A 24,715-nucleotide genomic window follows, 5' to 3' on the forward strand; every position below is an offset into this window, starting at 1 on the left:
ATGCCCCCAGCGTGTGGGCTGCTGGGCAGATGCCAGCATCCCCATCATTTAGGGCCTGAATAAACAGCCTTGTTTTACTCTGCTCTTTGCTGAGCAAAACAGGGCTCCAAACCCCTCCTGGCCATCCTCAAATCTCTTCCATTTTCCAAATCCTCAAACGCTTGAGGCTGTATCTCTTTGGCCTGTCCACCATAGAAAACAAGAGGCTGGTCCCTTCCCAGGCGAGGAGAGCCTCCCTCCCGGTGCTCCTGCGGTCGCCACACGTCTCCGTGGCTGACTCTTTATAGCAAGGTGCAGACACCAGGGATGGGGGTTCAGATGTGTGCACAGCAGGGTCTTTGGGGTCAGGGAGCTCTTCAGGGCAGGCAGAGCACATTCTCAGGCCATTAGCTGGTTGGGCCAGAGTTCACCTGCCACCACCCTGCCCCCAGACCAGCATCACGGCAGGGTCCCTGGTCCCTCAGAGACCCCTTGAGAGAGCAATCCCCACCACGGTCCAGGAGGTAGCTGCAAACCTGGAAAAACAGGACAGACTCCAGGAGAAGCACATAAGCCAATTAAGAGCCCAGGCTGGCCCGGCGGCTCCAGTAGCACCTGCTCTCATCTTGTGAGGTGCATGCGGCTTGGGCTGCTGGGAAGGTACAGTGCGGCCTAATTACACACTCCTCCGTGACAGGCGGTGTCAAAAGATTAAAGGAATCAAACCAAGTGGCTCTCCAGTGGCCCCTCCCCCAGGAACCAGAGCTGCTGCGTGAAGGTGATTATGGTACCAACGTAGTGGTTAGAAAGATAATTTTCTCTGGGCCCTGTGCCTGCCGCCTCCTCCACTGAGCTGCGCTTCGGCACTGCGACTCGGCCACCTTGTCTGGGCTTCACAGATTCCTTTTCTTTTTTGTTGGCACAGCTGAGCAGAAGGAAACAAACTAAGCAGCTCTCCCTCCACCAGCCTCCCACCCCACCACCCACGGGCCTCTCCTCCTCTTCCCTCTCCTCCCCTTCCCCTACCTTCCCCTCCCCTCCCCTTCCCTCTCTTCCTCTTCCCCTCCCCTCCCTTCCCTTCCCCTCCCCTCCCCTCCCTTCCCCTCCCTTCCCCTTCCCCTCCTCTCCCCTTCCATCCCCTCCCCTCTCTTCCCTTTCTCACCCCTCCCTTCCCCTTCTCTCCCCTCCCTTCCCCTTCTCTCCCCTCCCCTCCCTTCCCTTCCCCTCCTCTTCTTTCTTTCTTCTCCTCTCTCTCCTCTCTCTTCTCTGTCTCCTCTCTCTCTTCTTTCTCTCTCTCCTTTCTCTCCTCTCTCTCTCTCTTTGCTTCCCATTCTGTTTTTCTTCCTAGTCATCTCCATTCTGTTCTGCCCCTTTCACCTCCTGTTTGGTCTCTGCATCTCTTTTCCTTCCCCTCCTTAAAGACCTGTCAGAGTTCAAGGATAAGGAAGCCACTGTGGGCTGCTTCCTGTTTTTTTGTTTTTGTTTTTTTTTTGTTTTTTTTCTTTTCTTTTTTCCGCTCTGATGGTCTTTAAAATAATAACAGCAATAATCATGACCAATAACCGTCCTCGCCTCTTGCCAGCCCGTGTAGATGGCTTCCCTTGCATCACTTATGATACGTTATCAGATAAGGAAAGGGAGGACCAGGGGCTCTGCACTTGCCTCAGGGTTTGTGGCTGGTGAAGGCTGGAACCAAGGCTGTGAGCTCTGCCTGTTGACTGCAGAGAAGCTACCGACCTACTCAGGCCTGGGGAAGGAGGAGGGAGGGATGGTGGGAGAGGAATATTTGAAAGCAAGATGGGGGCGAGGCATGATGGCTCATTCCTATAATCCCAGCACTAAGGGAGGCTGAGACAGGAGGATTGCCTGAGGCCAGGAGTTCAAGACCAGCCTGGCCAACATAGGAGACCCCGTCTCTACCAGAAAAAAAAAAAAAAGAGAGAGAAAAAAAAAAATTAGCCAGGTGTGGTGGCACATACCCGTAGTCTCAGCTACTTGGGAGGCTGAGGTGGGAGGATTACTTGAGCCTAGGAGTTTGAGACCAGCCCAAGCAACATAGTGAGACCCCATCTCTACAAAAAAAAAAAAAAAAAAAAAAAAAAAAAAAAAACGAAACAGGAGGACCACCTGAGCCCAGGAGGTTGAGACGGCAGTGAGCTGTGAGCTGTGCCATTGCACTCCAGCCTGGGTGACAGAGCAAGACCCTGCCTAAAAAAAAAAAAAAAGGCAAGATAAGAAGGCACCTCTGCAAGTATCTCCTCCAGGCAGAGAGGACTGAGTATCAGTGAGGGAGGGGAGCAGGGTACCGGGACCCCCACTCCAGACTCTGCCATGCCTCTGCCCAACTTTGCTGCAGTGACTTTGGGCAAGCATCCCTGATTTACCCGGCTATGGGCTGTCACCCCTGAGGAGGGAATGCCATGTCCCTCAGGTGAGCAGAGGAAGGGTTGAGAGCTGGTCGGAACCTTCAGTATGCAGGGAGGGGCTGGAGCTCCTGGAAGACATGTGACTTGCCTAAGGTTATTCGCAGGATGGGCCCAGAGCTCCACTCTCCTGCCCTTCAGCCTGAGAGTCCTCATTCACTTCTCTGCACCTTCAGTATCTGCAGGGTCTTTGCCAAAACCCAAACCTCCACAGGGGTCCTCTCACATCCTTTCCATGATGACACGGTGACCATCTGTGAGTGGGAGGAAAGACGCCCGGAGGGGTTGGTGGAAGTGGGCGCTCCCTCACAATGACTTCTGCTTCTGAGGGTGTGAAGACACAGCTTGGGATTTCAGGCGGAGGGTTTGCTAATGTCACTACAGCACACACCTGCTGGGAATGGTATCTTGGCGGGGGAAGGGGCACGGAGCGGAAGAGGGGGATGCAAAACCCACCTCTTTCTGGTCTCTTCCCTCCCATTTCCATCCTACTGCACTTGGAAACAGAGCATCAGGGAGGGATTAGGGATTTAAAAAGTGGCCGTTAGAGGAAGGCAAGAGTGGCCCGCACCAGCTACTGTGGAGTGTCTCCATTACCATAATAACTAACCACTTAATAACTGGCTTCCCCACTAATTCTAATTGAAACACATAATGATATTTCCGGGCCGAGAGTGGCAAGCTCAAGTCTCGGCAGACATCTCCAGGCGCACCCCCCCAGCTTCACGTGGCGAAAACTGTGGGCTCTCCTTGGGTATTCTGTTGGAATAGATTCGGGCAGCCGACACCAGCTCTTGTACGGCTGCCAGGAACCACAGCTGATGATAAAAGCCATTAAAGGTCAGCTGGGAATAGAAAACCATTTATGTTAAATGTCACAGATTAAGCCGCAGAGTGGGCCTTGGGCAGGGAGCAAAGGGTGAGATGCGAAATGCTGGTCACTGTGCTGCCTCTGTAAGGTCTGGGGCAGTGGGGGGGATTGAAGGGTGGAGGTGAAGCCAGGGGCAGGGGAGCACTTGAGTTCCTGCTCCCTCCAGCCTGGGGAGGCAGGTGGATGCTGGCAGCCACAGGTGATTAGGTGATTGGCCAGGCTGGCCGCCCTGAGGTTGCTAGGCGACCTGAGGGCAAGGTGTGGGGAGAGGATGGAGTGGGTCTGTGTGGCATCATCGCAGAAGGGGACCCGGGCGGTCTCTAGAAGGGCCAATGAGATGGAGGCTGCTTCCACTTACAGAGGGACCCTTGCAGGCTCTTTTTCTGGAGTGTGGTCAGCGGGACAGTGTGGGTGTGCCTAATCATGACTGAGGATGAGTGTGACACAAGTCAACTGCTCACTGCAGCCACAGCCAGGAAGTCACAGAGAAACAAACACCACGCCCCCTTCACTACCTTCCAATGGCCTCGGAAGCTGCAGTTTGAAGGACACAGGAGGGGCTCAAGTGGGAGGGGTTTCAGGGCTCAGAGGAGCCTGGGCCAGGCCCTAAAGGGTGGCTCCAAGAGAACTGGGGACTCTGGTTCTATCGCCGCCTCAAAAGTGCCTGTGCTCCTTAAACCTGAACCTGAGTATCCGGCAAGAGCCCCTCTGTGCATCTCTGCTCCGTCCTTTGGCAAAACTCACCTGAGAAGCCGGTTTGTTGACAGGTCTGAGAAACCCCCTGGAAGTTAATTAGATCACTCAGATCCCACTGAAACAATGACTACCATCCTTGGTGACCTACCTGGGGAGTGGTTCACTTTTGCTGGTTGAGCCAGAGACTTCGTTTCCGTGCTTCTCCACCTCCCACCTTGCCTCCAGATTGCCGAGCTGTTGCTGTGTGCACAGGGAATGAAGGCTCATTTTAATATTGGTGCAAGCAGACATCATTGGGAAGGTAAATCTAGTGGGAGAGGGGAGCAGGCAAAATGAATATCACCCCAAGCCCTGTCCTGCAGCCTTAAGTCCAGTCACAGGAGGGTAGTTTGAAGCAGGGGCATGTTTCCTCTGGGAATTGGGAATCATTCATACCATTGGATGGGGCCTGAAGGAGATACTGAGGTTGTCTCCCCCGAAACCCCTGGGATGGAGAACAGATCTCCACCAGCGCAAGGGGTCCCGGGAAGGCCCTCACCTTCACTCTTCCTATGAGTTGTTTGACAGCAGAATGACTGGGCTGGAAGTGACCTGGCCTAGAAGCACTCACAGGAATACGATGGGATGGAGGGAGATCCCAGGAGGCCCTGAGGGTCCAGCCAGTGGGTGCTGTGTCAAGATGGTAGGATGAGTGGGCTTGGTAGGATGGCTGGGGGTGAGGCTGGGATGTTGATAGACACTAGGAAGATTTATATTGATTTCTGCCATCAATAGATTCGTATTGGCAACTACTCTGCACCGGCCCAGTGGCTGGCACTGGAAATATAATGCTAAGTAAGACCATTATCCTTTCTTCTAGAACCTCACTGAGAATAGGGAAGATCAATATGTTCCCGAGTAATTATGGTACATTAAAACTATCTCTAGGAGAGAGGCAGTGCAAGGGACTCAGAGCACCTAGAAGAGCAACCAGGAAGATGGGGAAGGCTTCAGAAAGGCAACATTGGAACCACCGGGCCTTCCATAGTCGAAAGGAGAAGGCTGGAGAGGAAAGTGTGGGCAAGATGGTAAAGAGCCTTGGATACTGTTCTTAAGAAGAGAGTTGAAAGTTAATTCTGAAGGCAAGAGAGAGGTATGTGCTGTTTTGGGGCAGGAGAATGAGAGGGCTTGTCCTGGATTTTAGAAAGAACACTCTAGAAGCTACAGGGAGGATGTGCCAGACACAGAGGTTCTCAACCTTGACTGCATCAAAATCATTTGGAGGGCTGGTGGAAACACGGATCACTGGTCCCTGCAGCCCAAGAGTTTTTAATTCAGCAAGGCTGGGCTGTGGCCAGAGAATTTGTATTCCTAACAAGCTCCCACGTGCTGCTGCTTTGGGTCCTGGGACCACAGTTTGAGAACCACTGTGTTGGAGAGAGGATCTGTGCAGGATCTGGAAGCAAGGAGAGCAGGTAGAAAGAAATGGGAATAAAATGAGAGATGATGAGGAGACTGGCTTGAGAGACCACTGAGGTCTCGGGGCAGGCAGATGGCGTGGTGCAGATGGGGAGAGGCAGGGCTCAGATGCAGGGAGTGGGTAGCAGAATCATGATATGGCTTTGGAGGGGCTGAAGCAGCAGAAGATGGTCAGGACAAGGAAGTGCAAAGCCAGGAAATGGGAACAGGATCCCAGGCAGGGCTGAGGTCCCAAGGGAGCAAGGACAGAGCCAGAGACTGGGGCTGGGGTCAGAGTTCCAACTCATTTGGCTGAGGAGGTGAGCAGTGGGCCAAGACTCCTACACTCTCTGCTTTTAGGCAATTAGGCCTCATTTCTGGGAGAAAAACACAGCTACAAATGGGCCTGGTTTTGCAGGTCAGGAGCACACAAGGGCGTGAATCCCACAGAGCAGGCCCAGAAATAGCGTGGGAGAGACTCTGATTCACTGTGTGCAGTGAGGTGCCAGCCTAGTTAAAGCACCCTGTCGGCCAGGCGCGGTGGCTCATGCCTGTAATCCCAGCCTTGGGGAGGCCAAGGCAGGCGGATCACCTGAGGTCAGGAGTTTGAGACCAGCCTGGCCAACATGGTGAAACCCCGTCTCTACTAAAAATACAAAAATTAGCCGGGCATGGTGGTGGGTGCCTGTAATCGGGAGGCTGAGGCAGGAGAATTGCTTGAACCAGGAAGTTGGAGGTTGCAGTGATCCAAGATCACGCCACTGCACTGCAGCCTGGGCAACAGAGCAAGACTCTGTCTCAAAAAAAAAAAAAAAAAAAAGGGCACCCTGTTGCTGGCCCCTAAGTGGCAGCCCACCCAGCCTGGGAGAACCCAGTCAGACAGGCTTTGTTCAAGACTTAAGCCCCAGTGACACAAGCGCCGCTCAGACCTCTCTTTTAGTCCCAAGGCCTGGCTGCTGGTCCAATTGCCTGTGGGAGGGAGACATCTCCCGGGAAGAGTGAAGAATCCAGCCACAAGCAGAGCAGCTGGAAGTTGATTCCATTTCTTTTCAGCAGCCTAGGAGCAGGCAAGGGGACTGGAAGGGGAGTGGGTGAGCAGACAGACCCCAGGAAGGGGTGCTCCTGAGGTTTTCAGCTAACAGAGCCCAGATGGATGTCTCCACCAACTTCCTGGTGCTGGGACAACCTTCATCTCTGCCTCTGTCCCCAAGGCTGTGTCCCTGTGTCTTAGCCCTGACGTCTCTTCTCCCGTGGTGGTCTTGCCAGTCTCATCCACTCAGTGGTTTATTTAAAGTACACAAAACATCAGACCATGATTTAAAGGAAGCTGGTATCTAGACTTTACACCACTTAGTTATGTTTTAAGCAGGAGGCCCTGAGGGTCCAGGCAGTGGGCGCTGTGTCAAGATGGTAGGGTGGGTGGGCTTGGTAGGATGGCTGGGGGTGAGGGTGGGACATTGATAGACACCAGGAAAAGTTATATTGGTTTCTGCCGTCAATAGATACGTATTGGCAACTACTCTGCACTGGCCCAGTGGTTGGCACTGGAAATATAATGCTAAATAAGACTATTATCTTTGCCTCTAGAACCTCACTGCGAATAAGGAAGATCAATATGTTCCCGAGTAATTATAATACATTAAAACTATCTCTAGGAGAGAGGCAGTGCAAGGGACTCAGAGCACCTAGAAGAGCAACCAGGAGGATGGCGAAGGCTTCAATGGGATCTGAGTGATCTAATTAACTTCCGGAGGATTTTTCAGACCTGTCAACAAACTGGCTTCTCAGGCTAGATGTGGCCCTGACTCTAGGGCCTCATATAAAGTTTTATTACCCACTTCACAGTGGAATAAGTTCGCTGCTGGGCCTGATGTCTGTCTGTCCATCTGCCAGTCAAGAATACGTGCAGGCACTGCTCTGCCGGATCTCCTGCCCATCTCCCTCCCAGAGTTCTCACCCAAGCACGGTTATTCCTGGTTAACCTTCCTGAGCATCTGGCTCTCCTAGGATCCAGGTCTTGAATTGTTCCTGCTTCCAGACTCTCTGAACCCATGGCCCCAAGCTCCCTTGCACCTGTTCTGCTCCACTTTCCTGCTCATGGCCACTACCGGGATTTCTATCCCCTCCCTGCCCCCGGGTTGCCACCTCTGCTCCACCTTTGGCAGCTGGCCTGATGGGTACCTGCACCATCTCTCCTGATACCAATATCAGCATGGGCATCTTGTCTCCAATGCCTGATCACAGTTTATGGACCACTCCTTCTAGACTGAGGTTTCTCTTCGGCCCATGGTGATGTTATAGGAGGCTGTTTGGGCTCCCAGGGGAAAAGGGAGCGTCTCTGGATGGGTGGCCTTGTGTAGAGGAGAGCTGACAGGCAGGAGGCAGCCTGGAAGGAGGAGAGGGAAGACACTGGATGACAGGGATGCTGGGGAAGGGGGCTCTCCAGCACCCACTGTGGGTAGCCTGGAGGATGGTCGGTCCCCTCCAGGATAATGTTCATTGCAGGCCAGGGCTGCCAGGATAGCTAGGCAGGACAAAGGGTTGCCACGGGTGGGCAGGGGTGGGTGGGGTGGGGTCGGCTCACCCTGGCCAGCATCTGCCTCTGTCGGGGCAGCAGGGAAGCCAGGAACCCTGTGGCTTTCCACTGTCTTCTCTTTGACTCTTCAGAAGAGGCACAATCCCAAGGGAAGATAGGATTGTAACAAGTTTGGAGGGGAAAAGGGAAGAGAAACCCTAAAACCTTCCTACCAGGACTCTCCTCTGAGATCCAAAACACACTCCCAGAAGCTGACACCCATAAGCACTGACTATGGACCAGACTCAGCTTCACCCCATGATCCCTGGGCCCTGCCACCATGACCCTGAGAGGAAGGAACCATTATGATGATCAATTTGGAAATGAGAAAATGGAAACTCAGAGAGTTGAATACCTGGTCTAAGATCATATAGCAAGAATTTGGGCCAGAACTGCCTGCCCCCATGGCCCATATTTGCAACTGTGACAGCCTCACAGCTAAGCACAATCATTTCTCGGAGCTCCCTGGGCCTTGGTGGAGCCGGGCTGCTCACAGAGATCATCCCCCAAGGCGCCGAGAACCACCTAAGCCCAATCATTCCAGCTGCATCCCAATAGTTAGCCTTTGACGGGGTCAGCAAACTTTGGCTCCAGGGCCACATATAAAGTGTTATTGGAATGCAGCTTTGCTTGTGCATTTCAGTATCGTTTGTGACTGCTCATGCTACATTGGCCTCATTGAGTAGCTGAAACAAATGCCTAACATGTTTGCTCTCAGGCTCTTTCCAGAACGTGTGTTATCGTAGCTCAGGCTGCTATAACAAAATATCATAGACTGGGGGGCTTAACAGACATTTGTTCCTCACAGTTTGGAGGATGTAAGTCCGAGCTCAGGGTGCCAGCATGGTTGGGTTCTGGTAAGGGATCTTTTCCTGGCGTGCCGGCTGCTGACTTTTTACTGTATCCTCATGTGGCACAAAGAAGCAGCCTTGTTCTCTTCCTCTTCTCCAAAAAACACAAATCTCATCTTGGGGGTCCACCTTCATGACCTGATCTAAGCCTAATCTACTCCCAAAGTCCCCACCTCCAAATACCCCAAATACCATTGCATTCGAGGTTAGGGCTTTAACATACGACTTTTGCGGTGGCACAAGTATTCAGTCCGTAACATATGTCCGCCTCTGGACTTTGATAAAATCACAAGCTCACCAACGTCTAGCAGAGCCCAGCTGCGATGGTGAGGGCCTGTGTGTGTGCATATGCACGGATGTAGTGTTTGTGCGTGTGTGCATGGATGTAGGGGTGTGTGTGTGTCCAAGTGTGTGTGCGAGAGGCCCCTGACATCCCGCTCAGGTTCTCTCCTGCCCTCTCCCTGGAGAAGGAGGAGTAGGTGTTGAGTGGGCAGTGATCTCCTTTCTAAGGGAACTGGGTTTTAGAGGATTTTATAGTCAGAGCAGCACAGTGGCTGCTGCTGCTACCGCTGCTGCTGCTGCTGAAATTTAAGTAATTTTCCCCTAATTAAGCAATTATCTCAGAGATAGCTGCTCCCATCCCCGGAAACTTTCTTATGGAGGGCAGGGAGCGGTGAGATGGGGGTGTAGAGCTTGGGAAGGCCCCAGATATAGAAACACTCTAGCTGTGAGATTCCTGCTGAGCCAAGGGCAGCAGCAGTAGAGGAGCACGTGGACTCCAAAGGTGTACTTGAACATGAGTCAACTGGTCCCAAGAGCCACGGTTGCTGGAGCCAAACACACCCATGGCAACCGACTCATTACAGGAGATTGGAGCCCACAGGGGACCCTGAGGTCCATTACAGGGACTTAGGGCGGGGAAAGAGAGAGTGAGCAAAGGCTGGGGCATTTTCAAGGCCAGAAAGAGAGGGAGGCTTCATTCTTCCATGGCAAAGGGAGAGCCGGACCACCCTAAACAGCTCATCCCGAGCACAAAACTTACCCCACCTTACCGTAAAGACTGTGTGTCGTCACTGGTGGGACTAGTTATAGACATAATCCTTCTCTGTAGGCTGACAACCCACAGACCCCACAATCACTTCTGGGAGCCTGAGGCTGCAGCCCAGGGCTAGGATACCCAGCTAAAGTGGAACTTCAGAGAAACAATGGGGAAAATTCTAGTATATCTCAAATATTGCATGGGACATACTTATGCCAAAACCCTACCCACTGTTTAGTTTTGTTGTTAGGCATTCTGTGATTTGACTTGCTAAATCTGGCAGTTCTACCTAGAGCCTAAATACCTTCTTCTCACAATTCCTAAGCTGAGAAATGATCGTTTGTCCCCAAGCAATCGCTGGATCCAGTAGAGGCAGCACGAGGACTGTAGGCCGGAGGCGAAGGATTCCCAGCTCTGAGGATTGGTACAAAAATCCAAAGGGTTTCTTGTAGAGCCAGTTTGAGGTGGATATACGGACCAGGCAACCTAACAAGGTGGTTTTGCCCTGGGATTCAAACATAGGAAAACTAGAAGGGGAAAGGAAAGAGGCCCTTATTTTTTGGTGTTAATCATCATTTACTACATGGAGACTTTTTAAAAAAAAAGACTGGGATGTTTCTTGGTTAAATGGTGAAAGGGAAATGAAATTGACAGGGCCCTTAGCTGGCTTGTCCCTGCAGAGACTAGAGCTTCTCTCTTCCAACAGAGTATTGACTCAACCCACACATAGATCTTTCTGTGGGAACTAGGAGAACAGAGATGTCCCCCTGCCTTCCTGATGAGAAACATTGTCAGAGTTACTGGCCTTTGATCCCAGACTAGCAAGCATACCATTGAGTCCAGGTCCCACTGGGACATGAGCAAGGTGGAGATTGTTCAGCCCTGATATAAATGCGGGAGGGGAGCTTCATGGCTCCAGGGTAGTCGTAGACCCCACCACCTACATGAGGGACCCTCTGGAATCACAGGGCATGGTCTAGAAGCCAGACAAAAATCTTCTCTGATGCCTTTCCCTGGGATGGGAGGGGGTTTCAGTAGCTGGAGTCCCCGAACGCTGTGCCCCTTGGCCCAGCCTCTATCAGCACTGGGGTTGACCCACTACTGAAATTCAGTGGGCGTTCCTTCCGCTGCTGCCAATTTCACCACTGTCAAGTGTGGTTACAGGTGCAAGGAGTGGGTGCAGCAGGGGGCAACAACTCCTCAAGGGAGCTTTGGCAGGAGGGGTGCAGCCATGGACCACGATGGGGATTGTGCCTGGCTGGTGAAGACCCAGGGAGTCCCCAGAACAGAGAGCTCTAGGGTGAGACACAGAATCCTCCCAATGCCCCACCTGCCAACCCCCAGATGCAGCTGGGGTTCTAGCTGGCTCCAGGCCCCACGGTGCCCGGAGGGCTACAGTGGATAAAGTCTGCTAAAAGTTACACTGTATTTATTTATTCCCTAGAAGTACAGAGAGACCTGCATAAGAGGAAAGGGCAAGGCATATAGAGACCATAAAAAGAGTTGAGTTTTTATGTAGTGGTAACCTGGGGAATTAATTTCTGGCTAACAGAGGTCGCACGACAATAACTGAGTTTTGAACAAGCACAGTTCAAAACTCCCTGGGGAGGTACGGAGAGGCCACTGAGCCTTGAAGGCAGGATGGAGGTGGGTGGAGTGAGGGGTGGGAGATGGCCAGGGCTGGCCTTGGGGACATGGGTACTAGGACCCAATTTCAAAGCACAGTAAGGCTAATAACTAAATGCTGGTTTCATTCAGTCCACATTTATTGGGCACCTACTGTGTGCCTAAACCTGAGTGAATAACATGGGGATTACAGTGATGGATAAACTGGGGCCCCACTCTCAATACTGTCATTGTCTTTTGGGGGGGTACCAGGAATGATGCTACCTGTGACTGGGCCATCAGGCATGACAGATAGAGCATGACCTGGGAATCAGACCCCATGGGCAGGAATTCTGCTTCTTTACTATAAACTCTGCCACCTTGGCAAGATGCTTAATCTTTCTCCCTCAGTTTCCTCATATAGAAAATAAGAATAATCCTACTTTCTGCCTCTTGAGATTGTGATGAAGATTTATGTGAACAGAAATGGCCTGGCATGTAACACCTTCTATCAGGACACACACTCTGAGAAACAGCTTCACTGAGTTTGAGGCAAAGTATTATGATGGTCCAGAGTGACTCATCCAGTGGAGGGGTCCAGGAAGGCTTCATGGAGGAGGTGACTTCTGATTTAGGTTTTAAAGCATGAATAAGATCTACATGAAGGGAGAAGAGAGGCACAACTTCTAGGCAGGTGCTACAAGCTGTGGCGGGAAGAATAGGAGGGGCCACGTGGCACTGAGTGCTTGATGTCCTGGGGGTGTTCTGGCCAAATTTAGGGAGCCCCCCCTTAAATATATAAGGCTGAGCTCAGGATGGTGGGCAGGCGGTGACCACACGTGGGGAGGAAACCAGAGCACCTGGTACAGTGCCCAGTCCCGGTCTTCTCCAGATACTGATGAAGGGGTGCGGGCATATTTTGGCTGAAGGCAGCAGCCCTAAGCTCCGGAAGACACCACATTCACCAAGTCAGAACCCTCGGGATGGGAGCCAAAGAATGTTTTCTAGCACTCAGTGAGAGAACAGGCCCGGGCTACCTGATTGAAAGACACCGCAACCCACACGTGTAGCCTTACATTTTCCAGCAGCCACATTAAAAAAAAGTGAAAAGAAACAGGTGAGATTGCTCACAATAGCATACGTCATTTAACCCAATATATGAAAAATGCCATGATTTCCATGCATAATAAATATAAAAGAATTATTTATGAGATATCTTGCCATCTCTTTTTCATACTGGGTCCTAAAAGTCCTGTGTGTATCCCACACTTCAGGCACCTCACTAGCCCAGTGTCCAGTGATCAATAGCCACATGTGGCTCAGGGCTGTCATATCCAACAGCACAGTGATGAAATCACAGTGAAACTTCTCCACTCTCCAGTCCAGAGACGGCCATCTCCCCATGGCCTCCGCAGGGCATTCTCCAAACTCACACATCTGGAGCCAATGCCCACGGGCTCCTGGCTGGTCATTCTGTGTTGTCTGATACTGTTCATGTTGGTGACCTTAGTGCTGGCCAGGGAGGGAGTCTGGCTCTCTTCTATTGGAGGTAATTGTGGAGTGGGGTGGCTGTGGGGCCTCAGAACACCTTGGAGCTCTCAAAGACCCTCTCACATCTTGGCCATTCCCACTTCCAGGACCAAAGCAATGATTCTGGGAATCAGCTGGGGCCACCACTGGAATAGAATGAGGCGATGGGGAGAGCCCAAGTTGGGAAAATGGAATCTTTGGTGACTGTGGGGGATGTGAGAGCCACAGACAGGAGATCACGGGTGCCTCTGCCTGCCACATATTTGAAAATGCACAAAGCAAGAGCCTCCCCTCTCCCCAGCACACGCAGGCACAGGGAAGTGTGATCATGGAATCAATTTATTTGTCTACTAATGCGCCAGGCACTGTGTTTTATAGGTATGAGCCCATGTCAGCCTCACGACAACCCTTGAGATAGGTCCTATCAGTGCCTCCATTTTAAAGATGAGAAAACAGAGGCACAGAGAGGTGAAGCATCTTGTCCGGAGTCACACAGCTAGTGGGTGGGGTAGCCAGGATTTGGACCTAGGGGGAGCTCCATCCGGGCACCAAGTCCACTGTCCCCTGGAAATCACATCATGACAAGGGGAGAAGGCAGTGGGGAGATGGAAAAGTTGGGAGGCTGTTCAGGAACTGGTGACAAGGAGGGGGAAGGCTGCCATCTGGCACCACCATGCAGGCAGTCCCAGATGGTGGAGAACCCACATCCACTGCCTGGCCGGGCTGGAACAGGATGGGGCGCAGACAGGCAGGTTCTCGGCAGACAGGCTCTGTGAAGAAGGTCTCATGCTTCCCCCATCCCACCCCAAGGGAGTGGCGAGGGAAGGGAAGCCTGTGACCTCATCATCTGGGCCAAGGCCAATGACATCACCAGGAGGGCAAGGAGCCAGGCCCAGCAAGTTATTTATGGAAACGGCTGGCGGCCAGGCACAGCTCCTGAGCTGTTTCAGATGTGGCTGGGATAAAGCCTCCAGCTGGCCCACTGGGGCTGCTGAGGCCAGGCAGGCGGGTGAGGATGAAGGAGGGCTGGAGGAGGGCTGGGGGAGTCAGCCCGCTGATGGGGCAGGGCTCTTCGAAGGCTCACTGGGGTCCCCAGCGGGGATCACTGGGGCACCATGCTTCTCCTTGGCGTCTGCCCATCTGTGTCCTCCCTTGCTCAGGGTGGACCTGTGGTCTCTGCAGCCTGCCATCAGGGTCTGAGTCTGGATGAGCTTAGAAAGAGCAGCATGGAGATTTCAATCACAAGCCACAGCTCATGTGTGCATCTATATTCGTGTGCCTGAGGGGATGTACTGTGTGCATGGCTGTTGTATGTGCGTCCCTGTCAATGGATAGATATACTCTCTGGTCCCTTGTATATTGCTCCCCTGAGTGGTCATAGGGGTAGTTAAGTTTGTGAGTTCATGGATATGGGCATCTCTGCATGAGTGTGTGTGTGTGTGTGTGTGTATGTGTTTGTAGGAGATGGGGAGAAGAGAGAGACAGAGTGCACAAGACCTAGCAAATAGGAAGAGAGGAGTCACGAGGGGAGAGAAATCACTGTAGGAAGTTGGGAAATATAATTTCAGTGGAGGATACAGAGGCACTTATGGAAGCTTCAGCAAAAGTAGACAAACCTTTCAATCCATTTATCAAAAATGCCTGCAGCTCTGCCGCCTGAGTAGGTGCAACAAGAATAAAATATTGAGCAGAACCAGTGATTGTGGGACTGGAGGAGGCCAATAAATAAGAAATTACTGAGATGCTCACCCTGAGTCCAATGAGTTTGCTCTGGCACTCCCTCTACTCATCATGCCCTGTGGTCTCTTGGGTGCTGGCTGGGACAAGCTAGCAGGAACCCACGTGGCCAGATCTCTGGCATTTTGACTTTAGGACTTCTGGAAGGATGCCTGGGAGAATCAGGGGGAACAGAGCTGCCAAGCTCCACTCAGGTAAGCTTTGGTGTGGTGGTAACACAGGGGCCCTGCTTCTCATGCCTCTTGGCCTTGCTAGCTGCCCTCCTTCCCTTTAAAATCCTCCATGAGGGAACGAAATCTACAAGACCCTGAATGGAGCTTTGGTGGTTGATCTATGGGCTCTCGATGGAGCAACAGGGGTATGGGAATGGGAGCCAGGTCATGACCAAGGGGCTCCCAAACCTAGACCCCAGCCTGTGCTATCTACAAAGACCTCATCTTGCCTCCCAGATCTTAGGCCTTTTGAGTGATGGGTGGAGGGATGACACCATGAAACCTCCCACTGAATGGGAACCCCATCCTTTGGTACGTCCTCTTTCATGTCATGACCACCCACCCCAGAAAAGAAAACGAGCACTTTTTCAAATGCCCTTAAACTTGAACTCAGGATGAGTTGAAACAGGATGTCTCATTGATTTTTTTTTCACCTCCAAGTCCACAAAAGAGTAATGGGCACAGCTTTCCCCCTCCCCTCCCACACCCTGGCAACTGCCCCTCAACCCCCTGACCGATCACCTGCTTCCCTCACACCCACACAGCACCCCCTCAATAACAGAACTAGAATCGTTGCATCTCAATGCCAAGAACCACAATGGCAGGATAAACTGCCCGGGAGACCCCATCCAGGGCCATGGCTGTGGGAGTCACATTCTCTAACCTTCTCCCAGCTGTGATCAGCAGAATGGGAGAGGTCCAGCTGAGTGGCTCTCTGGGTTGCCAAGCTAAACACCCAGAAGGCAGGAAATAAGATTAACTCTCAGCAGGAAATAGAGGGATAAAGGTTGACTGGGGCAGTGGAGGCGCCAACTGGATGTTCCAAGGGACAAAAAGGAGGACCCTGGCTCTGTGGGAGCAGCCTGAGCTCACAGAATCCACTCCTTCTGCTTTCAGAAACACAGCAGATGGGAACTCCACTTTTTTAGAGTGTTCTGGGGAGGCAAATCCCCTATCTACAAGTTGTTCCTAGTTTCCCTGCCTCATTGCAGAAGGCCTATCTTAGGACCCAAGCAAGATGCAGTGTTGTTAGGCTCTTGGACCTGGAAAAGGTCCTGAGCTCTCCACTGCCCCACTGCCTCCACTGCACTCTCTAGGTATTTGTAACCGAGTATGATTGCATGTATATGGGTCTGCCCAAGCATGGGCACCTGTCCCTTCCAAAGGCACCCTCATCCTTGGGAGGGATGGAGGTGGAACAGCAGGACGAACTTCCCAGCAGTCAATCAATCTAGAATTCTGAAGACAATTTCACCCCCAGACGGCAACAGGATGAGCAGGATCAGGGAGCAGCACTCTTGTTTGCAGGGCTGGTACTCTCTATCACATTTCTAGAGCCTGTGAAATGCCATTCCAGGCTGCTGGTCCAGGACCGTTCTCCTTTCCTTGTTTCTCTAGCCCTGCTTCCATGCTGGACAGGCCTAAGTGTGTAGGGGGCGGTGGTTGAGGAAAGTTGATAGGGCAACCATCCCAGGTGGCTCTTTCCTTTGCCTTTGTAAAATCTGTAAGAAGAGGAAGCAGTCGTTTTCCTGGGGCGCTGGGGTATAGCCCCATAGATTGAAACTATGTGAGGCACAGCACCAAGCAGAAAGACCTGGTTTCCATCCTATCATCTGCGTCCCAGCGGCTCGCATTACTGGCTCCTTTAAAGACTGACATCTGGGCTTTGGCCAGTGCTCAGATTGCAAGAATAAGGAGCTATATCTCTAGTGAGATGGTCGGGGGGTTGTCATTGCACCAGCTTTCAAAGGGCTTTTCACCATTGTCATACTTTTCTTTTTCAGTCTTACTTAAGGAGATGTGTTCAAACAATGATGATGATGATGATATTGCCGTGTGCTTACTCTATGCTAGATGCTTCACTTTTGTTGTTCATTTAATTAGCACAATGATCCAATTAAGTAGGTATTATTATCTCCACTTTTCATATGAGGAAACTGAGGCCGAGAAAGGCTATGTGACTTTCCAATGGCCACGGGTATCCTGAACCCAAACCCAGGGCTGGATGACTACCAAGCCCATGCTATTGCTCGGGCACTTTTCTGCTTCTGCAAGGGAAGTGGTTTCAGGCAGAGAAAGCTAAAAGCTGGCCTGAGTGATTAGCTCTTCTCAGGGTGCAGAAGGCCCAGAACTTCAGGCAGAGGATGCACAGCCAGCGAGTGACTCATCTCGGTTTGCTTGAGACTTTTTAGCACTGAAAGTCTTGCCTTCTGGGAGCCCCATCAGTCTCGGGCACACTGAGATGGTTGGTACCCTAGATGGAGTGCACGCCAAGGACAGTGTGGACCAGGTACAGTGGATGGACCCTGGAGAACCACCTGCTCTGGGTGGTTGAAGGTAGTGGGCTCAAGTCAGTGGGCAGAATGAGATTTGCTGGCAAAGGCTCTTCTTTTTTTTCTTCTTCTTTTTTTTTTTTTTTGAGATGGAGTCTCGCTCTGTCACCCAGGCTGGAGTGCAGTGGCATGATCTCGGCTCACTGTAAGCTCTGCCTCCTGGGTTCACGCCATTCTCCTGCCTCAGCCTCCCGGGTCCACGCCATTCTCCTGCCTCAGCCTCCCAAGTAGCTGGGACTACAGGCGCCTGCCACCATGCCCGGCTAATTTTTTGTATATATATATTTTTAATAGTGATGGGGTTTCACCGTGTTAGCCAGGATGGTCTCAATCTCCTGACCTCGTGATCTGCCCACCTCAGCCTCCCAAAGTGCTGGGATTACAGGCGTGAGCCATCGCGCCCAGCCAAGGCAAAGGCTCTTCTGAGCAGCCAGTCTGTGGATCTGAAGGTCACCAGCTTGATCTACTCCTGTCTCCACTGGAAACAATGTACAAATCCTTCACCACGTTCATACTTGGCTGCAAGCATGCCCTGTGCCCCTGACATTGCTACGCCTGGCCCTGGGGCCCTGGCCCCATCTGAATCTCATTTCCCCTTAGATGGTAAATAAAGAGAATGATGGTTTTCTCAGCCTCTCGTACCACCAACAATCTCCACCCTCTGTCAGTCAAGTCATAGAAGGGTCATGGAAGGGCTGAACATACCAGGAATGTTGCCAGTGCTGGGGGCCCACACTGTCAGATGCAGGGTTCCGGGTCACTGGGGACCCAGCGAGATGGGACAAGGTGAGAAGAAGAGGAAAAGGAGAAAGGCAAAATTCCCAGCCAAAAAAAAAAAAAAGTTCAATCAGATTTGTAAAGGGCACAATTTACAAATCCGTCACATATTTTACTAGGCTGGGATTTACGGATTAGCCTGTAATACTTAGGCGGCTTTTTGTAATAAAACCCTGAGCCGAGGCAGTCTTGGGGAAGTGAGGAGGAGGAAGGAGGCTTCTCTCTCTATCTTGCTTTCATTTTCCCAGCATTTTTTGATCTAGGCAGTCCCATTAATCTGTGCTTTATCTGCCTATGGAGAAGGATTGAGCTCTTTATTGGATTTTTGTCAAGAATAAATGATTTAGTTTGGGATACTGTGGAAACGATTTTTGTGGTATTACACCATCTAATAAATGAAACAGCAGGGATCAATTCCTTTCTTGCAATGTGTTCAACAGGCAGGGTGAAATATGCCCCACAATTATTTGGTATTGCACTCCATAGATATTTATAACCGAGTAGGACTGCATGTATATGGGTCTGCCCAGGCATGGGCACCTGTCCCAGATGATGTGATCCATTAGTCCCAGAGCATGAGACTAGAGACCCAAGTGACAGGTCGGTCAGAAATGCTGACCAGGTTCACTCGAACAGTCAAGGCTGAGGGCTGGAGAGAAGGAATCAGGTTTGAAGGTGAGGGCTGCAGTTGAGAGACTGTATTTACCAAGGCTTGAGTGCTTTTCCTGGAGCTTTGGAAGTGAGAGAAACTAACAGGGTGGGACGTCATTGCCACAGCAGACCTGGCAAATGCCTGGTGCGTGGGGACTCTATGCAGAGAACTGAGGTCCCATCCCCTACCCATCCTGGGTACCCCCGTCCATGTCCCACTGGCCTCTCTCCCTGGACATTGCTTCGAGGGAAAATGTCTGGAAGTTTTTGGAGAAGGGACCTGGCTTTCTGTCCAGGTAGGCTCATAAGGTTTATATCCCTGAAGCCTCACAAATATTTATTGAGAGCCTATTACATGACAGCGCTTAGCACAGGCCTGGCCTGAAGTAAACTGGATATAGATATTTGTTCACAGATTGACAAACAGAAAGCCTTACAAGATGCCCTTCCCAGGCGCAAACCCACGTCACCCTCACAAGCAGAAACAGGGAATAGTAAGGATGAGGGACAGATGGTCGCTAGGAAACTGCAGCCTTCCTCCGATCCCTAACCCCAGGGGTAAAAACAGAATGATCGTGAAGGCAGGGAGCGGGGACAGGTGGTCCTGGGCAGCGTGGCTTATGCCCTGCCCATGGAGATGCCTGTGTTGGAGATGGTTGCTTACCCAGGTTTCACACGCCGGACATCAGCACCTTGGCTCAAATTGTTGAAAACAGTCCCCTTCGGTCTATCAGCGCCATCAGAGACATGTTGGACGTGACACCTTTGTGAGCTTTGTACACCTCAATATTCATCAAATGAAGGCCCGAAGAAATGGATGTCAGTATTAGCAAGATTCTTTCGCCCAGAGCTTCGTGGCGTTGGTATCTCCTTGGCTGGTCTTGCCTCCCAGCTGCATGCTCTGTAAATGTTTGTAGTGAGCGTGAGACACTACAGCTCTCTGTCTCTCTGCCTTAAGCCCACTCTATTTTTATACTATTTGGTATTATCTTTGCTGGCTGTTTTTTCTCTGCCACAATCAGAATTCTTGGGGCTCGGTGCCGACGGGAGGGGTTTTAAGTGTCTTTGGCAGGAAGAATTTCTTCTGTCTGTAGTTCAATCTGAAGTTCATTCACATTCTCCTTGCAAAGAATGGCGGATGCAGTGAGAGTTGCCGTAAAAGCGATGAAAAAGTCATCGGCAATCCTTACCACATCCGTACATCGGCAGCTCGGAGGCTTGACTGCTGGAGCGAGATGTGGCCCAAGACGCCCCGGTGGAGGCTAGGGTCCTCATGGTGCCATTTGCCCCAACTCCCAGGAGGGGCAGGGAGACGATTTCCTCTCAACTTCCCAGGCGGCTTTAGGATGTCAACTTGGGTCTTGGCCTGGAGCCCTTTGGATTCTTTCATGTTTTTCTTGACTTGCTAAGTGTGCTTTCCATCAGTTGGATACGGAATGCATCAAAACAATCATTATTATTTCAACCACAGCCTCCTCTGAAAGCGCTTTTTCTTGGATATAACACCTCTGTCTCAAGGCAGTTATTGCCATTCCAATGTGTTATGCTGTGATTTCATCCTCAGAGGGAGCTGCCACACTCAGAAAGCAAACAGACTCTTCCCACATCTCGGCATAGAGCAACCCTGTCCTTCCAGTTTGTTCTTCGGGCCACACATCTATGAGCCAGGACAGATGCATCTCTTTCTCCCACACTCCACATTCCATCCATTGGGAAATGCTGCCGGCTCTGCTTCAAACTGCCCAGAATCCCACATCATTCTTCCCCATTTCAAGTGCTTTTCTCCGGCTCCAGCTGGGACTCCTGCCCCATCCTGACCCTGGCAGCCCATGCTCAGCATGGCAGCCAGGGTGAGCCACTCACAGCTCAAACCGTTCAGACCTCCTCCTTTTCCCAGAACGAGAATTGGGTCTTCGCCATGGCCTCAGGGCCCCTTGCAATGTGGCCTGAGTGACCGCTCTGACCACCCCTTCCCCAGCTGCCCGCCCTACCCACCCCACAGCAGCCCCACTGGCTGCCTTGCCCTATGATCAAATAACCCAGGCAGTCCCCTGCCTCGGGACCTTTGCACTGGCTGTTCCTTCTGCCTGGAAGGCTTGTCCCACAGAGACCTGCATGGCTGATGGCTGACTCCATTACTGCCTTGAGATTCTTATTTCAAGGCATAAGGCAGCATTGTGCAGAGGATAAGAGCACAGACTGGAGCCCCACTGCCTGGCCTCAAGGGCCTTTGCTGACATTTACTGACCACCTGACACTGCAAATGGTATTTCACCTCTCCCTACCTCAGTTTTCTTCTCTGTAAAATGGGGAAATAATCACATTAATTCATACTGTTATAATGAGGATTCAATGATTTAATATTTGTAAAGGACTTATAGCCAGAATGAATGTGAAATAAGCGACTACCAAAGGAATAAATCAAATGAGCTGACATCAGGCACCCTATTTAAACATGCTGGCCAGGGCCAGGCGTGGTGGCTCATGCCTGTAATCCCAGCACTTTGGGAGGCCAAGGTGGGTGGATCACTCGAGGTCAGGAGTTCGAGACCATCCTGGCCAACATGGTGAAACCTCGTCTCTACTAAAAATACAAATATTAGCTGGGCTTGGTGGCACATGCCTGTAGTCCCAGCTACTTGGGAGGTTGAGGCAGCAGAATCGCTTGGGCCCGGGAGGCAGAGGTTGCAGTGAACTGGGATGGCACCACTGCACTCCAGCCTGGGTGATAGAGCGAGACTCTGTCTCAAAAAGAAAAGAAAAGAAAAGAAAGACAAACATGCCACTGGCTTCTCACCTCCATCCTACACTCCCAGTCTTTCTCCTCTCCTGTGCTTTTGCTTGTATTTCATTGTATGTATCCCTTCTTACTACATAATTTACTTATTTCTTTTGGTTGCTATTTACTGTCTCCCCCAACCAGAATTGCTAGAATACAAGCTCCATGAGGACAGAAATCTGTGTTTTGCTCACTATGGTACCTACATGCTTACACAGTACTTGGCCTGTAAGAGTCGTTTAGCAAGTTTATACCCCCTCACCTACACATTAGAACTTTTCGGTTAAAAAGTATGTGTTTTTTTATTATATAAGGAAAATATGTAGAAAAGTTCCCATTACAGAAGCCATGCATGGTGGAGGCACCATACTGAACGTAAGAGAATTAAGTGAAATTCTGAGTCTTGGGGTAGATTCTTCCAGAAGGTAACCTGAGATATGGTGTATTAGTTTTCTTTTTTTTCTTTTATTAATTTACTAAAAACTATATGAAAAAGAATGAGATGGGCTCTTGCTATGTTGCCCAGGCTGATCTTGAATTCCTGAGCTCAAATGATCCTCCCACCTCAGCCTCCCAAAGTGCTGGGATTACAGGAGTGAGCCACTGCGCCCAGCCAGATAAAGCGTCTTAGTTTTCTATTGCCACTACAACACAGTATGACTTAGTGGCTTAAAACATCACAAATATATTGTCTTACAGTTCTGGAGGTCAGAAGTCTAAAGTGGGTGTCTCAGGGGGCTGAGCCCCATCAGATGTCAGCAGAGCTTTTTGTCTTTCTGGAGGCCTCCAGGAAGAAGCCGCTCCTTGCCTTTTCGAGCTTCCACTGGCTGCCTGCATTCCTTGGCTCATGGCCCCTTCCGCCAGCAACCACCTCACTCAGGCCTCTGCTTCCTTCATCGAGTCTCCTCTCCGATTCTGACCCTCCTGCCTTCCTCCTGTAGAAACCTTTGTGATTACATTAGATCTACCTGTATAATGATAGGATACTCTCTCTGGGTAATACAGGATACTTTCCCTGTTTTAAAGTGACATCTGCAAACCAAAAATTGTGTATTTGGAAAAACGTTAGGCCAGGCACGGTGGCTTATGCCTATAATCCCAGGACTTTGGGAGGCCAAAACAGTTGGGTCACCTGAGGTCAGGAGTTCTAGACCAGCTTGGACAACATGGCAAAACCCTGTCTCTACTAAAAATACAAAAATTAGCCTGGCATGGTGGTGGGCACCTGTAATCCCAGCTACTTTGGAGGCTGAGGCAGAAGAATCGATTGAACCCGGGAGGTGGAGGTTGCAGTGAGCCGAGATTGCACCACTGCACTCCAGCCTGGGGAACAGAGTGAGACTCCATCTCAAAAAAAGAAAAAAAAAGGAAAAAAAGGAAAACAATTTTTAATATAAAAAGTAGCCTGATATCCTCAACATAAAAAATATGAATAACATGTATCTAGATAAATTGATCTCGTTCATGTTAAAATTCATATACCCATACATATACACATACATGTGTACATTTGTGTACAAAATACATATACGTTATACATAAATCTCTGGAGACTATATACCAAATGATTAATAGGAGTTAATGGCGGGGTATAGCTTTCATGTCTACATAATTTGAATTTATTTTTCAGTATAATTAGCATTTATTTCTACATGGGGAATGTCTTACTTTTATACTTCAAAAAGGTTTTAAAATGAAAAATTTAAACTAGACAGGGGCTGGGCGTGGTGGCTCATGCCTGTAATCCCAGCACTTTGGGAGGCCGAGGCAGGAGGATCACTTGAGCTCAGGAGCTCAAGGTCAGCCTGCGCAACATGGCAAGACACTGTCTCTACAAAAATTAGCTAGGTGTGGTGGCATGCGCCTGTAGTCCCAGCCACTTGGGAGGCTGAGGTGGGAGGTTTGCTTGAGCCTGGGAGGTCAAGGCTGCAGTGAGCTGAGATCATGCCACTGCACACCAGCCTGAGGGACAGAGTCTTGCTGACTCTGTTTCAAAAATAAAATAAAAATAAACAGACAGGATAAAGGCACATCATGGGAAACAGGGAGAATACAGACATGTATAAAGAAGGCAATCTTTGATATATTTCTTTCCAGTCTTTCTTCAACATATGACATGGGCTTGTGCTCAATATATAATTTTAAAGCCTAACTTTTTTTACTTAATTTTATATCACGAGCATTTTCCATGTCATTAAAGATTCTTTGCACATATATTGTTAATGGCTGTATAATATTCCTTCACAGATATGTCATTATTTATTTATCCATCCATTCCATCCACCATCAACTTTCCTCACACCCTCCTCATCCCCCATTAATACCCTAACTACTTAGATGAGAAACGGTGGCTCTCACAGTCCCTGCTGAATGAATGTATATCTGGAGCATTCTGGAGAATATCAAAGTCAGGAGTTCATTCATATAAATAGGGCACAGACCAAAGCAAATCAATATCTCCATGACGCATCTTCCTTCAAGGCACAGAAGCCCTTAGCATTGTGTTTCAGGGAGTAAGGTGACCTGCCCTGAGCTCTCTGCATCATCTCACTTGGGTCTTCATGTCTCCTGGCTTTTTCCTGGTAGGTTGCCCTGAACAAAACTACCTAAACTATAAGCTCATGAATAAATAGGTTTGGGATAAAAATAAGGTTGGGATACGAGCCTAGTAATTTTCCAAAAATAGACCTCTCTAGGACTTGCTGCCTGCCCTTTGTTTTTATTTTTTAATTTTTTAATTTTTTATTTTTTGTTTTTGAGACAGCCTCGCTCTGTTCCCCAGGCTGGAGTACAGTGGCACAATCTCAGCTCACTGCAACCTCCACCTCCCAGGTTCAAGCAATTCTCCTGTCTCAGCCTCCTGAGTAGCTGGGATTACAGGTGCATGCCACCATGCCTGGCTAATTTTTGTATTTTTTTTTTTTAAGCAGAGATGGGGTTTCACCATGTTGGCCAGGCTGGTCTTGAACTCCTGACCTCAGGTGATCCTCCCACCTCGGCCTCCCAGAGTGCTGGGATTACAGGTGTGAGCCACCACGCCTGGCTGCTGCCTGTCCTTTTGTATGAAAAGGCACCATTTTGGCTATCAAAGATGGTTTGCGGGTTGGACAAGAAATGTAGGGGAGTCAATGGATGGGAAGCGAAAGTGGGAGCCTCATCATTTTAACGAGATTTGTAACTAAAAAAGCAACACCTCTCTGCAGCTGCCCTTGTGGACAAG

General features: G+C 50.4%; 1 long non-coding RNA gene across 1 annotated transcript in view, besides 3 other annotated features; it reads right to left on the minus strand.

Annotated features, from left to right (window-relative positions):
• The window catches only part of LINC00469 (long intergenic non-protein coding RNA 469), a 79,268-nt gene that overhangs the window by 7,548 nt on the left and 47,005 nt on the right, over positions 1 to 24,715 (minus strand). Inside the window, exon 3 of the long non-coding RNA NR_027146.1 lies at positions 4,118 to 4,209. This is a non-coding gene — a long non-coding RNA (long intergenic non-protein coding RNA 469). The remainder of the gene's footprint in view (positions 1 to 4,117; positions 4,210 to 24,715) is intronic.
• Positions 10,564 to 11,064: an enhancer, noted in NCBI's record as "H3K4me1 hESC enhancer chr17:71763520-71764020 (GRCh37/hg19 assembly coordinates)". NCBI's record gives its function as "activates a minimal SCP1, AML or CMV promoter by ChIP-STARR-seq in primed H9 embryonic stem cells {active_cell/tissue: H9 hESC(primed)}" and the evidence as "EXISTENCE:reporter gene assay evidence [ECO:0000049][PMID:30033119]".
• Positions 13,415 to 13,916: an enhancer, noted in NCBI's record as "H3K4me1 hESC enhancer chr17:71766371-71766872 (GRCh37/hg19 assembly coordinates)". NCBI's record gives its function as "activates a minimal SCP1, AML or CMV promoter by ChIP-STARR-seq in naive H9 embryonic stem cells {active_cell/tissue: H9 hESC(naive)}" and the evidence as "EXISTENCE:reporter gene assay evidence [ECO:0000049][PMID:30033119]".
• Positions 13,917 to 14,416: an enhancer, noted in NCBI's record as "H3K4me1 hESC enhancer chr17:71766873-71767372 (GRCh37/hg19 assembly coordinates)". NCBI's record gives its function as "activates a minimal SCP1, AML or CMV promoter by ChIP-STARR-seq in naive H9 embryonic stem cells {active_cell/tissue: H9 hESC(naive)}" and the evidence as "EXISTENCE:reporter gene assay evidence [ECO:0000049][PMID:30033119]".

Source organism: Homo sapiens, chromosome 17, assembly GCF_000001405.40.
Source record: "Homo sapiens chromosome 17, GRCh38.p14 Primary Assembly".
In the NCBI taxonomy this organism is placed as follows: domain Eukaryota; kingdom Metazoa; phylum Chordata; class Mammalia; order Primates; family Hominidae; genus Homo; species Homo sapiens.